This window comes from Homo sapiens, chromosome 14, assembly GCF_000001405.40.
Source record: "Homo sapiens chromosome 14, GRCh38.p14 Primary Assembly".
Lineage (NCBI taxonomy): Eukaryota > Metazoa > Chordata > Mammalia > Primates > Hominidae > Homo > Homo sapiens.
This window is the reverse complement of record NC_000014.9, coordinates 64,329,170-64,342,459: the sequence shown is the minus strand read 5'-3', so window position 1 is coordinate 64,342,459 and position 13,290 is coordinate 64,329,170. Positions and strand designations below refer to the sequence as shown.

General features: G+C 43.6%; 1 protein-coding gene across 6 annotated transcripts in view, besides 5 other annotated features; it reads left to right on the top strand.

Annotated features, from left to right (window-relative positions):
- Positions 2,802–3,484: an enhancer, noted in NCBI's record as "H3K27ac hESC enhancer chr14:64805694-64806376 (GRCh37/hg19 assembly coordinates)". NCBI's record gives its function as "activates a minimal SCP1, AML or CMV promoter by ChIP-STARR-seq in primed H9 embryonic stem cells {active_cell/tissue: H9 hESC(primed)}" and the evidence as "EXISTENCE:reporter gene assay evidence [ECO:0000049][PMID:30033119]".
- Positions 3,123–3,182: an enhancer, noted in NCBI's record as "active region_8528". NCBI's record gives its function as "activates an Ori minimal core promoter by ATAC-STARR-seq in GM12878 lymphoblastoid cells {active_cell/tissue: GM12878}" and the evidence as "EXISTENCE:reporter gene assay evidence [ECO:0000049][PMID:35858748]".
- Positions 3,253–3,302: an enhancer, noted in NCBI's record as "active region_8527". NCBI's record gives its function as "activates an Ori minimal core promoter by ATAC-STARR-seq in GM12878 lymphoblastoid cells {active_cell/tissue: GM12878}" and the evidence as "EXISTENCE:reporter gene assay evidence [ECO:0000049][PMID:35858748]".
- Positions 3,543–3,592: an enhancer, noted in NCBI's record as "active region_8526". NCBI's record gives its function as "activates an Ori minimal core promoter by ATAC-STARR-seq in GM12878 lymphoblastoid cells {active_cell/tissue: GM12878}" and the evidence as "EXISTENCE:reporter gene assay evidence [ECO:0000049][PMID:35858748]".
- Positions 3,753–3,882: a silencer, noted in NCBI's record as "silent region_5832". NCBI's record gives its function as "represses an Ori minimal core promoter by ATAC-STARR-seq in GM12878 lymphoblastoid cells {active_cell/tissue: GM12878}" and the evidence as "EXISTENCE:reporter gene assay evidence [ECO:0000049][PMID:35858748]".
- The window catches only part of ESR2 (estrogen receptor 2), a 111,907-nt gene continuing 102,463 nt past the window's right edge, over positions 3,847–13,290 (top strand). For 4 of the 6 annotated variants that reach the window (NM_001291712.2, XM_047431076.1, XM_047431077.1 and 1 more), the window contains exons 1-2: positions 3,847–4,562; positions 5,740–6,047. The gene's annotated coding sequence lies outside the window, so the exon portion shown is untranslated. The remainder of the gene's footprint in view (positions 4,563–5,739; positions 6,048–13,290) is intronic. The other 2 variants (NR_073496.2, NM_001291723.1) reach the window with 2 other exon arrangements.

Sequence of the window (13,290 nt, the reverse complement as noted above, 5' to 3'; positions counted from 1 at the left end):
CCAGATTCTAGGATCCCTGGCTGCAATGTAAGAAACTTGCTTATCCTTCCTCTCAATAATATCACCAGCCTAGCAAAAGAGGAAAAGTGAGGGACACCTTGACCAGAGCCTCCACTTGCAGCCCAGCCTGCTCAAGCTGTAAGAACCACCTTCTTATTCAGAATTTCCCCAGAGCCACGGCCCAAGGGTCATCTGCCTGCTGCAGCCTTAGCACACAGGAGCCTGGGCATGAAACAGGCAGACCCTCTCCTCCTTCCAGGACACCCTTCTCTCAGGAAATGGAGGCCCTACCAGCTCCTACAGCCAAGCTCTCCATGAAGGCCAAGGTGTTAAGGTGGGCCAGTTTCTGAAAGAGCCACTTTCTGAGCATATTAAAGAAAAATCTCTTGTAAAAACAAAGAGGGCTTAGTGTTAATGCTCCTTTATGAATTGTGTTAGTAGGAACTGATTGTTCAATCATGGGGCAGTGCAAAACGTTAGCTGTGTTAACTCTGAGCAAACAGGGGAGATCCTTCAAGGACCTGGAACACTGTTTCCTAGAAAAGCTTTTAATCATGTGTCCAAATCACTGCCACACTCTTCTTTAATGATAAGAATTGGATTTAGATTTAAGGCTTTAGATAAATGATTCTCAACCTTCAAGATGCTATGAAATGACCTAATTAAGGAATTATTTTTTCCTAGGCCTATCCAGAGATTCCAGTTCAGTTTGTGGTATGAGGCTGAAGTATGGATATTTTTTTCAAAGCTCCTTAAGTATATAAATTGATAAAATTACTTTGGAAGACTGGCAGTGTACGAGTTTTCTGTTGCTGCTGTAACAAATTATCATAAACTTTGTGGCTAAAACAGTACAAATTTATTATCTTACAGTTCTAGAGGTCCCATTGGGCTAAAATTAAAGTGTCAACAGGGTGTGTTCCTTCTGGAAAGGGGAAAATCCATTTGTTTGCCTTTTCCAACTTCTAGAGGTTACCCACATTCTTGCCTCATTGCCTCCTTCCTCCATCTTTAAAACTAGTAGGAATTGATCAGGCCCATCCAGTCTTTCTCACAGCTACTGTTCTCTGGTTCTTTATCTGATTCTACAATTTCTCTGATTCTCCTTCTCTTGCCTCCCTCTTCTCTATTTTTAAGGGTGCTTGTGATTAAGTTGGGCCCACCTGGACAATCCAGAATGCTCTCCCTATTTTAAGGCCACCTCTTGGCAAACTCTGTAAACTTAATTCTCTTTTGCCATGTAACCTAATATACTCATAGGTTCCAGGGATTAGGACAAGGATATTTTGGGGGACCCATTATTTTGCTTGCTGTAGTTAGCATCTACTAAAATTGAATACATGCATGCCTTATGAAGACGTAGTCCCACTTCTACATACATGTTAGAAGCAAATTTTTCAGTGCCACAAAATAAAAGAAAATAGCACTCGAATATAAATTTTCTCAGCAAGGCAAATTTACTCTTTCAGGAGGGTGCCCCTCGTAGGTCTGGTTGCCACGAGAGGACGCACAAACAAAGGAAAGCAGGGGGTTTTATTATCTCTAATGCAGCTTGTCCCTGTTACTGCGTCTTGCCTCCATTGGCTGGAGTTGGACCACACGATCTAAGCTGAACCTGGTTGGCTAACTTGAAAAGTGCAGGAATGCGGTTTTCAAGTGGGAAGGTGGGAAGATCAATTTTTCTGGGAAAGCTGTTACAGCAGGGAGGGGGTGATTTCTTGGCTGTCTTGCCTGAGCACAGCAGGATGGGAGGGGCTGATAGATTGGCAGGCAAGATTACTGTAGACAAAGAACAGAGAAATAAGACTTCAGGACAGACAGTACAAGGAAGTAAAGACCTCTTGGAGAAGAATACCTTGTTTGTAACAAAGTGAAACTCTTTGAAGAGGAACTGTCTAAACTACTTGTTTTTAACATATATAACAGAAATGTGTACATATTCTTTTTTAAATTTTTAAATTTTATTATTTTTTTGGAGACAGAGTTTCGCTCTTGTTGCCCAGGCTGGAGTGTAATGGCACGATCTTGGCTTACTGCAACCTCTGCCCCCTGGGTTCAAGTGATTCTCCTGCCTCAGCCTCCAGAGTAGCTGGTATTACAGGCATGCGCCACCACACCTGGCTTATTTTTTGTATTTTTAGTAGAGACAGGGTTTCTCCATGCTGGTCCGGCTGATTTCTCGAACTCCCGAACTCAGGTGATCTGCCCGCCTCAGCCTCCCAAAGTGCTGGGATTACAGACGTGAGCTACCTCGCCTGGCCAGAAATGTGTGCATATTCTATACAAAGACATTTACAATATTACTAACGGTGGCATTGTTCATTATTGCCGGAAACTGGAAACTACCCAAATGAACAATGGTGGCTTAAGTATGGCAATCAGATCCATTAGTTAAGCATTCGATCTCATTTGGGGTTGGACAGGGAGAGGTCAACTGGAGTGCTGAATTTTTCTGAGGCCAAACTAGAAAGTAACTCTAGGAGCTGGGCGTGGTGGCTCATGCCTGTTAATCCCAGCACTTTGGGAGGCCAAGGCGGGCAGATCACCTGAGGTCGGGAGTTGGAGACCAGCCTGACCAACATGGAGAAACCCCGTCTCTACTAAAAATACAAAATTAGCCAGGCGTGGTGGCGCATGCCTGTAAATCTCAGCAACCTGGGAAGCTGAGGCAGGAGAATCGCTTGAACCTGGGAGGCGGAGGTTGCCGTGAGCCGAGATCGTGCTATTGCACTCCAGCTGGGCAACAAGAGTGAAACTCTGTCTCAAAACAACAACAACAACAACAAAACAACAACAACAACTACTACTCTAGGACCAGGACTGGGAGATGGCAAATAGGGGAGAGCATGGAGTTCCACTAATAAAATGGTAATACACTAACAGTGGAGAAAGCAATGGGCTTGTAAGGAGAACTTGGTTCTTGTTGAACATCCGTCACTAATCAGTCTTGCAACCCTTGATCAAGTCTTGTCACCTCACTAAACTCGAATTTTCTTTATCTCAAAACTAGAAAGAAATCGTGGCCTGGATTTCTGAATTATGGGGTTTCAGGCAGCCACAAGTAGGCTGGCAGAAATGTTTTCTGGTCAAATAAAGGAGTCTGTTGCCCCAGAACAGGAGCCAGGGGCACAGCCAACAGTAAAATTCTGCTTGGGGCCCCATTCCTCAGCTGCAAGGTACTTGTCTTCAGGTGTGGCAGGCTGAGATCTGCCTCCTTGTTCCCGGCCTATCCCGCTGGGCCCCTCCCCTGCAAGTGTTCGCTTCCATACAGAGGGACCATTAGGGCCTGTACATCGTACTTCAGGTCCCCTCCTGTGGTCCAACATTCCCTAGGGGCAAGTGCAACTGTTTATGCGGAGACCACTTTTCCGTGCAGCCCAACTGAAGGTGCACGTTCCACCGCAACCTGGTGCTTACAACAGCTCGGGAGGCCGCGCTACCGCGCCTGCGCCCCTCTGAATATGGAAGCGCGCGCGAGGTCCTTAAGGGAAAAGGAAGTAAGGGCGGGGACGGAGGGAGACGACTTCAACGTAGGGAGTTGCTGCTGCTACACTGCCGGCCGGAGAGGACAAGGAAAACGTGGAGGAAGTCGGTGATGACTGGCTGAAGGGGATGATTGGCGGGTGAAAAGAGCCGGGCCAGAAAGCACCTTTGCATGTGGCTAGAAACCCGCCTGAAGAGGGGCTGAAACCCACGCCGGAACCCGCCCGATTCGAGCCAATCAGGGAGAGGAGCCGGGTGGGGGGGCGGACGGGGCGGCCTCGCGGGGGGTGGACGGGGCGGTCTGCGGGGAGGGGGGGCGGTCTGCGGGGAGGGGGACGGGGCGGCCTCGCGGGAGGGAGGACAGTTTCGCGGGTTCGGGCGGCGAGTCTCCCGGATGCTCCTCAGCTCTGGGGACGCGGTGCAGAAGTGTGAGGGCGCCCGGCTTCCAGGCAGTAATGGGCGGGTCCCTGCGCGGGAGCGTGGCGGGCGCTGGACTCTACAGCAGATGTGGAACTGGAGAGCTTGGCGCGCCTTCCGACTTTGTCACACACCTGCGCCGCCAGACTGGGGTCGGGCCCCTCCGCGTTCTGCTCTGGAGTGCCTGGGTCTGGGCCCAGCACCGCGCTTTTAGAATCTCCTCAGCTGAATCTGACGCTCAGCAGTGGGTGAAGCGCAGCCCCCTGTTTCAGGCCCTGCCGAGCTGGAAGGAGTGTCAGAGCTGGAGCGCGCGTGGCCCCCTCTGTGTTGGGGTCACCCCGGGGTTGCCAGGGCTCAGGGAGGGTCGTAGTCTGGATTTTGTCACCCGCACGTCCCCACCCCCCAGCAGGTCTGGGGTTGGAGAATCCACGCGGGCTTCATAAGCTAGATGCCAGTTAACTGTCGAGAGGGGACGCTCCCTCCTCGTAGGCGTCCACACTGGAGAAGGAATAAGATGGGCGATTGCCTGGGAAGCCTGACAGGGCGGCGGCAGCTGGGATGCTGGAGAGGACTGGCCCCTTGAGTTACTGAGTCCGATGAATGTGCTTGCTCTGCTGGAGGAACCGCGCTCAGGTTACAGTCATCCCAATATGGTTCTGAAGGTGCGTGGTTCAGGTCACTTAGGACTTGACCAGATACCGGGTTTCTTTTACAAGCCGTTTCTGACGGTGGCCTGTTTCAACTACTGGCAGAGCTCATGTAAAACAGACTTTTAAAAAAATTTGGGGGGCTTTTAGTATTTTTTTCTTATTCCTATATTCTGAGGATATTTTATAGTAGTCCCACATATGGAATTAGATAATCTCTTTTTTGTTTGATTAACAGTTTTATCAAGTATAATGTACATACCATAACGTTCACCCATTTTAATGGATTCAATGATTTTTAGCATATTTACAGAGTGGTGCAACCATCAGCATAATAGAATTAAGGAATCGTGATTTTTTTTTTCTGGTAATTGCTTTTACAGTTCTCAAAGTTTGCACAAGCGGATATTTTAGAGGTACAGTGTAATATAAGAGCTTCTGAAAATGTCCACTTAAGTTGTTTTATACCTGAGCAAGTGAAATTAAGAAGGGAATTGAAGCAAATATTCCTGGTAAGTTGTAGGGAGTGAAACTTTTGTGTCTTGTAATACCAAGTAGATATTGACCATTTCAACTGGTTTTTATGCTGAGGAAATGCATAAACCCCATTTTACAGATGATGAAATCGACTTTGAAGGATAAGTTGCCTACAGCTGCATACCTGTGCCTGGGCTAGGCCCCAAACCCAGATGCTTTATCTCTCAATTTGTTACCCTTGCTACCTCAACAGCTTGGTTTTCAACCATGGTACTGATGAGTGTGAACAGTACAAGCCATTCATTTACTGAGCAAATAATTATTGAGTGCCACTCTGTGCCAAGAACACTGCTATAGGTGCTAGAGATATTATTGAATCAGATACCGTAGTGAACTGTTCCTGCCCTCAGCTCATCTTCTGGTGGGGAGGACAATGATCAAGTAAAGAAATATATAGTTTTAGAGATTCATCTATTTTTTTAATAGGTAAATTAAAAGGGCAAGGAATGGCAGTGGGAGGCAGAATCTGATGAGAAAAATCTGAATGAAGAGAGGAAGTTAGGATATAAGAAAGAAAGCAAGGGTTTGATTTGAGCAAGCGCAAAAATAGAGTTGTGATTTACTGAATTGAAATAAGGTGATACTGGAAGGACCAGGTTTTGGGGGTACAATCATAAGTTTGGCTTTAAATGTTTTTAAATACCTTGCCTCTTAGACATCCAAGTGGAGATATGGCATTTAAATTCATGAGATTGGATGAGATCCCACCAAAGGAACAGGTTTAGGTGGAGACAACCAAATACCGATGCCTAGGACACTGCAGTGTTTAGAATTCAAGGAGATGAGAAGGAAACAGGAGGGAAGATTGAAAAGAAGAGTCCAGTGTGTTATGAGGAAAACCCCAAGAGCATGCTGCCTTACAAGACAGGTGAAAAATGTGTTCTGTGAAAGAAAGAGTAATTAACTGTTAAATGTTACAGACTGATCAAATAAAATGAAGACTGAGAATGGCCTGTTTGTAAGGTAATAAAAATACATAAAATCTTATGATAGAAATATTTATACATAAAGTTAGTAAGGAAACAGTGTTTACTCCTTTTTGTAGAAGTGTAAATTTTTACAACCATTTTGAAGGGCAGTTTGATATTATCTACAACTTAAAATTGTGCTTCCATTGATAATTTCACCTGTGGAAGTTTATCCTACAAAAATATTAATATGTGCACACAAATATGTGTAAAAGTGTTTATCACAGCTTGTACACATATATATTTATAAATGTGTTGTCCAGGAACAGTGGCTTATGCCTGTAATCCCAGCACTCTGGGAGGCCGAGGTGGATGGATCACCTGAGGTCAGGAGTTCGAGCCCAGCCTGGCCAACATGGCGAAACCCCGTCTCTATTAAAAATACACACACACACACACACACACACACACACACACACACACACACACACACAAATTAGCTGGGCGTGGTGGCGGACGCCTGTAATCCCAGCTACTTGGAAGGCTGAGGCAGGAGAATCACTTGAACCCGGGAGGTGGAGGTTGCAGTAAGCCGAGATCACGCCACTGTACTTCTAGCCTGGGTTACAGAGTGAGACTTCATCTCAAAAAAAAAAAAAAAAAAAAAAAAGGTGTTTATCACAGCATTGTTTACATTTGTAAAAAGGTACAAGTTTTCATCAAGATGGATGCAGTTGTTAAAGGGAAGATATAAATGTGTAGATATGGGAGATAGCTGCTATAGACGGAATTGTGTCCCCTGAACTTTCATATGTTGAAGCCCTTACCCTGAATGTGGTGGTATTTGGAGGCAGGGCCTTTGGGAGGTAGTTTGATTTAGATGAGGTCACGCAGATGGGGCCCCCACGATGGGAGTAGTGTCCTTATACAAAGAAGAAGGGAGTCCAGAGCTTTCTTCTGTCAGTCATTTAAGGACATGGTGAGAAGGCAGCCATCTGTAAATTAGGAAGAGTCCTCACCAGGAACTGAACTGGCTGTCACCTTGATCTTGGTCTTTCCAGGTTCCACAGCCATGAGATATGAATGTCTGTTTTTAAAGCCACTCAGTCTGTGGTATTAATATTTTGTTATAGCAGCCCAAGTTAAGACAGATAGCTTTGTTAAATGATAAAGTCAGGTTATCTAATAGAATGCATAGTATAACCCCATTTATCTTAATGTATCACAGGAGGCCTTTCTAGTCACACTAACAAAAGTTACTCCTTTGTGTGCCTTCCCTGATCACTGTTACATTATTCTATGTACAGCACTTATTATCTAAAATTATTTCATTAATTTTTATACATGTTTACTGGCTTGTCACAATAGAAGGTAAGCTCTGTAAGGGGTTTGCCTCTCTTGTTTATATCCCCAGTGCTAGGTATATATTACTTTAGGAAAAACCATTATTTATTAAAAATATTTTAGGAAAAAACCCTACACAAACAGTATTCCTGTAGTGGTTTTAAAATAAGACAACAGGCTGGGCGTGGTAGCTCATGCTTGTAATCCCAGCACTTTGGGTGGCCGAGGCAGGCGGATCACCTGAGGTCAGGAGTTTTGAGACCAGCTTGGCCAACATGGTGAAACCCCGTCTCTACTAAAAATACAAAAGTTAGCCTGGCCTGGCGTCACACGCCTTTAATCTGAGCTACTTGGGAGGCCAAGGCAGGAGAATCACTTGAACCCAGGAGGCAGAAGTTGCAGTGAGCTGAGATCGCACCATTGCACCGTAGTCTGGGCAACAAGAGCAAATGTCTCAAAAAAATAAAATAAGACCACAATTTCTTTGATAGTGTTTCCTTCCAAAGGTGGTGGCTAATTCTCCTCTTCTTGAATGTAGGCTGGATTTAGTGACTTGCTTCTATGTGTAGAATATGGCCAATGTGGAGGTATGTCAATAGGTCATGAATTCCTTTTTGTTCTCTCTCTTCGATCATTCACTCTGAAGTAAAGCAGCTGCCTTGTCATGAGAACATATCAAACAGTGCTGTGGAAAGGCACATTTGGTGAGAAATAGGCCTACTCCCAACAGCCAGGGAAGAACTGAAGCCTTCTGTGACATGTGAATGAGCCACCTGAGAAATGTATTTTTCATCCTCAGTCAATCAGTGTCTCAAAAGAGGCCGTTAGCTGGATCCCTCAACAAAGCCACTTTTGGGTTCCTTTCAGATAATACAGGTTTGCTTTGTAATCTACTAGGTTTGGTGGTAGAGTGAGAAGACTGAACACACTCCCCTTTAGGACACATCATAAAGCAAAACAAGTATGGCCCAAAGTAGCATACACTTAATGTTCTTTTCTACTAGGATTTACAGAATTCATTGTTGGTACAATTTACTCTTTTAAAAAATAATTTTTATGTTGATCAGAATAAAATACGGTATTCCAAGCTATATGTGCTAACTTGATTTTATTTTAAAAATGTATTGAACACTGGAACACACAGATTTGAAAGATTTGACCTTAATATATATTTATATATAAAATATGATTTTGAAATAATGAACTTTTAAATTTAAAATTATAAATAATTTTTAAAATGCCTTCTATTTAGGTAAAGAATCTTCAAAACAAACTTCTCATATGATATGGTTTGTCTGTGTCCCCACCCAAATCTCATCTTGAATTGTAGCTCCCATAATTCCCACATGTTGTGGGAGGGACCCAGTGGGAGATAATTGAATCATGGGGGGTGGTTTCCTCCCTGTTGTTCTCGTCGTAGTGAATAAGTCTCATGGGATGGTTTTATTAGGGATTTCCCCTCTTGTTTGGCTCTCATTCTACCTTGCCTGTTGCCATGTAAGATGTATGTTTCACCTGCCATGATTGTGAGGCCTCCCCAGCCATGTGGAACTGTGAGTCCATTAAACTTTTTATTTATAAATTACCCAGTCTTGGGCATGTCTTTATCAGCAGTGTGAAAATGGACTAATACATCATAAAAGAAATTTCATTGCAAAAGTTGAAGTCTGAACTAAAAAGCTACAAAGAAAATAATGTTTAATAGCCATCCCAGATAGTGTCCCTGAAATACGATGTCAAGGATCTAGAGGAACATATTGTATCTTTAACCAGAATTAAGTCTGAAAAACAAGTATTCAGAGTCTTAAAAGAGGCAAGCAGGACTTAACGGAACGAATTATAAAACTAAGGTAGAAAATTCTAGTTTATTTTTGAAACATGTCTCTCATCATAAGCTCACATATAGCATATGAGCTCCATGCTCCTGATTGATCAGTTTAATTTCATGGAATTTCACTTATTGCCTGGTATAACATTATTACAATTTTTCATTATAAGACTTGTGATTATCAAGGTCAGGATATCAAGACCAACCTGGCTAACACGGTGAAACCCCATCTCTACTAAAAAATACAAAAAATTAGCTGGGCGTGGTGGTGGGCACCTGTAGTCCCAGCTACTCGGGAGGCTGAGGCAGGACAATGGCGTGAACCCAGGAGGCAGAGCTTGCAGTGAGCTGAGATCGCGCCACTGCCCTACCCTCCAGCCTGGGCGACAGAGCGAGACTCTGTCTCAAAAAAAAAAAAAAAAGATTTGTGATTATCTGGTCAATGTGTGTAGAGAGGAGATGTTTGATCATATACGGTACCCTTTTTTTTTTTTTTGAGATGGAGTCTCACTCTGTCCCCCAGGCTGGAGTGCAGTGGTGCGATCTCCGCTCACTGCAAGCTCCGCCTCCTGGGTTCATGTCATTCTCCTGCCTTAGCCTCCCGAGTAGCTGGGACTACAGGTGCCCACCAGCACACCTGGCTAATTTTTTGTGTTTTTAGTAGAGACGGGGTTTCACCGTGTTAGCCAGGATGGTCTCGATCTCCTGACCTCGTGATCCACCCACCTCGGCCTCCCAAAGTGCTGGGATTACAGGCGTGAGCCACCGTGCCTGGTTACAGTACCCTTTTTGATAGCAGGAGAAAAGATGGTCATTAATGTATCCTCTTATAATAAGAGTAATATTTAAGAAAGCCACAAAATATGAAAAGCTTTTCTATCCAGATTTACATTCTGTTGTAGACCATCTTTATTCTGTTATTTACTGTACGTTAGACCAATTGATACCTTTCATTTTCCTCTGGGGTTTGCATTTCGCAGATCACTTTTAAAAGGAAAACATAGGAGCCTGAAACAGAAGTGGGAAACAAATATTTACTCAAACTAAGAGACTAAACTCAGTAGCCAGCAACAAGAGATCAAGGTGTGTGTGTGTTTTCTGGTTGTGCAGATATTGTCTGAAATAAGATGGCTGAAAAGTTCAAGTGAAAAAGTAATTAAAAGCAATTCATCAACCATAGCCATAGCTGGATGTATAATAGCTGATCAGGCATAGCAAACTCTTCAGGATAATTTCATTTTTAAAAATTTATGTCTTTGTCCTTTTCATCTTCTAAGCACAGTTTCAAATAAGACTACAGAGTGAGGCTCTAGGGACCATCAGTTTTTGTCTTTAGTGCTAAAATGGTGGCTGAGTGACACACCATGATTTTTTTTCTCAATATTTCATCATTCTACCAGTGTTGGAAAAGGGAGAGAAGGACTCTCTGAAGGAGACTGTGCAAAGGATTCTTTTTTTTTTTTTTTTTTTTTTGAGATGGAGTCTCACTCTGTTGCCCGGGCTGGAGTGCAATGGCATGATCTCGGCTCATGCAACCTCCACCTCCCTGGTTCAAGGGATTCTCTTGCCTTAGCCTCTTTAGTAGCTGGGATTACAGGCGCGCCACCACGCTCGGCTAATTTCTTGTATTTTTAGTAGAGAAAGGATGTCACCATGTTGGTCAGGCCAGTCTCGAACTCCTGACCTCGTGATCTGCCCACCTCGGCCTCCGAAAGTGCTGGGATTACCAGCGTGAGCCACTGGGCCCGGCCCCAAAGGATCTTTTTACACCATGTCTGGTTCCCAGCCCTTTTTCTATCCTTCCTGTGCAGTGTGGACTGAGTTGACTGAGATATTTAGGCCCAGGACTTCTTGCTTGTTCTATAGTTATTGAGAAAAGTGTGTCAAAATATCCATCACTGATTAAGGATTTGTCTGTTTATTTAGTTCTATCAACATTTATTTTTTAACTTTGAAGCTATTTGCATACAAATTGAGGATTTTTATCTTTCTATTGAATTGCCCCTTTTATCGTTATGAAATCTCACTTATTTCATGTAATACTTTTTGCCCTATAGTCTAGGTTGTCTGATATTAACATAGCTAGATAATATTTCTTAGATTGCATGGTATGTATTTTTCCATTTTTCATTTTCAATCTTTCTATGTGATTAAAGTATGTCTTTTGTAAACAGCATATAGTTTTGTTTTTTAATCTAGTCTTATAATCTTTGTCTTTTAATTGGAATGTTTAGGCTATTTACATTAAATTCTGATATTGTTGGATTTAAGTCCACCATACTGCTACTTACTGTGTTTTTTCTCCTCTGGTCTTTGTTCTTGTAATAATTAGTTTGTTTTTTGTTATTGTTGATTTTTTTTTTTTTTTGTCAAGATGGAGTCCTCCTCTGTCACCCAGGCTGGAACGCAGTGGTATGATCTCGGCTAACTGCAACCTCAGCCTGCCAGGTTCAAGCAATTCTTCTGCCTCAGCCTCCCGAGTAGCTGGGATTACAGGTGCCTGCTGCCATGATGATTAATTTTATGTGTTAACTTAGCTGGGCTGTGTTGCCCAGATAGTTGGTTAAACATTATTCTGGATGTTTCTGTGAAGATGTTTTTGGATGAGGTTAACATTTAGATCGGTGGACTTTGAGTAAAGCAGATTACCTTTCATAATTTGGGTGGGGCTCATCCAATCAGTTGAACATCTGAAGAGACCAAAAGACTGACCTTCTGCAAGCAAAGAAAAATTCTGCCAACAGACAGCCATTGGACTTGAACTTCAACATTGACTCTTCAGTCTATTGGCCCACCCTGCAAATTTTGGACTTGCCAGTAAGTGTCTGAAATCTAGTGAGGCAATTTCTTTCTTTTTTTTTTTTTTGAGATGGAGTTTCGCTCTTGTTGTCCAGGCTGGAGTGCAGTGGTGCGATCTCAGCTCACCGTAACCTCTGCCTCCCAGGTTCAAGTGATTCTTCTGCCTCAGCCTCCTGAGTAGCTGGGATTACAGGCATGTGCCACCACGCCTGGCTACTTTTGTATTTTTAGTAGAGATGGGGTTTCTCCATATTGGTCAGGCTGGTCTCAAATTCCCAAACTCAGGTGATCCACCCGCCTTGGCCTCCCAAAGTGCTGGGATTACAGGTGTGAGCCACAGTGCCCAGCCTAATTTCTTTCTTTCTTTCTTTCTTTTTTTGAGACAGAGTTTTGCTCTTTTTGACCAGAAAGGAGTGCAATGTGGCAGGATGTTGGCTCACTGCAACCTCCACCTCCTGGCCTCTCTAGTAGCTGGGATTACAGGCGCCTGCCACCACGCCCAGCTAATTTTTGTATTTTTAGTAGAGATGGGGTTTCACCATGTTGGCCAGGCTGGTCTCAAACTCCTGAAATTACGTGATCTGCCCGCCTTGGCCTCCCAAAGTGCTGGGATTACAGGCGTGAGCCACCATGCCTAGCCGGGTAGTTTATCTTGACTTGACTTCAGGCTCACCAATCCTTTTGGCTGCAATTCTACGATAGAAAAGGACATAAAAAACTTTAAATTAGCCTTAGAATAAAGAGATGTTATCATTCCCTAGCAATTAGTATTCAAAGCAAGATCCAAATATGTAATTAGTCATTTATGTATCTAAGCTGTTTGTATGTATGATACAAGTTTTCACATACAAATTTCTTCTTTCTTTCTTTCTTTCTTTTTTTTTGATAGAGGCAGGGTTTCACGACATTGCCCAGGCTGGTCTTGAGCTCAAGTGATCCATCTGCCTTGGCCTCCCAAAGTGCTGAGATTACAGGCATGAGCCACAGTGCCTGGCCCAAATTATTGTAGTTATTTCCAATTCCTTTCCCCCTTCTCACATCCCAATTAAAGAATTCCACTCAGGAATTGTTGTAGTAGAAGTGCTTTAGTCTGTGTGCTACGGTTTGGATACTGTTTGTTTGCCAAGTCTCATGTTGGAATTTGATCACTAATGTTGAAGGTGGAGCCTGGTGGGAAGTGTTTGGGTTGTTAAGGCAGATCCCTTATGAATGGTGTGGTGCCCTTCTAGAGGGAGTAAGTTCGTTCTCACTCTTGGTTCCCACAAGATCTCGTTGTTGTAAAGATCCTTGTACTTACCCCTCCTCTCTCTCTTGCCTTCTCTTTCAC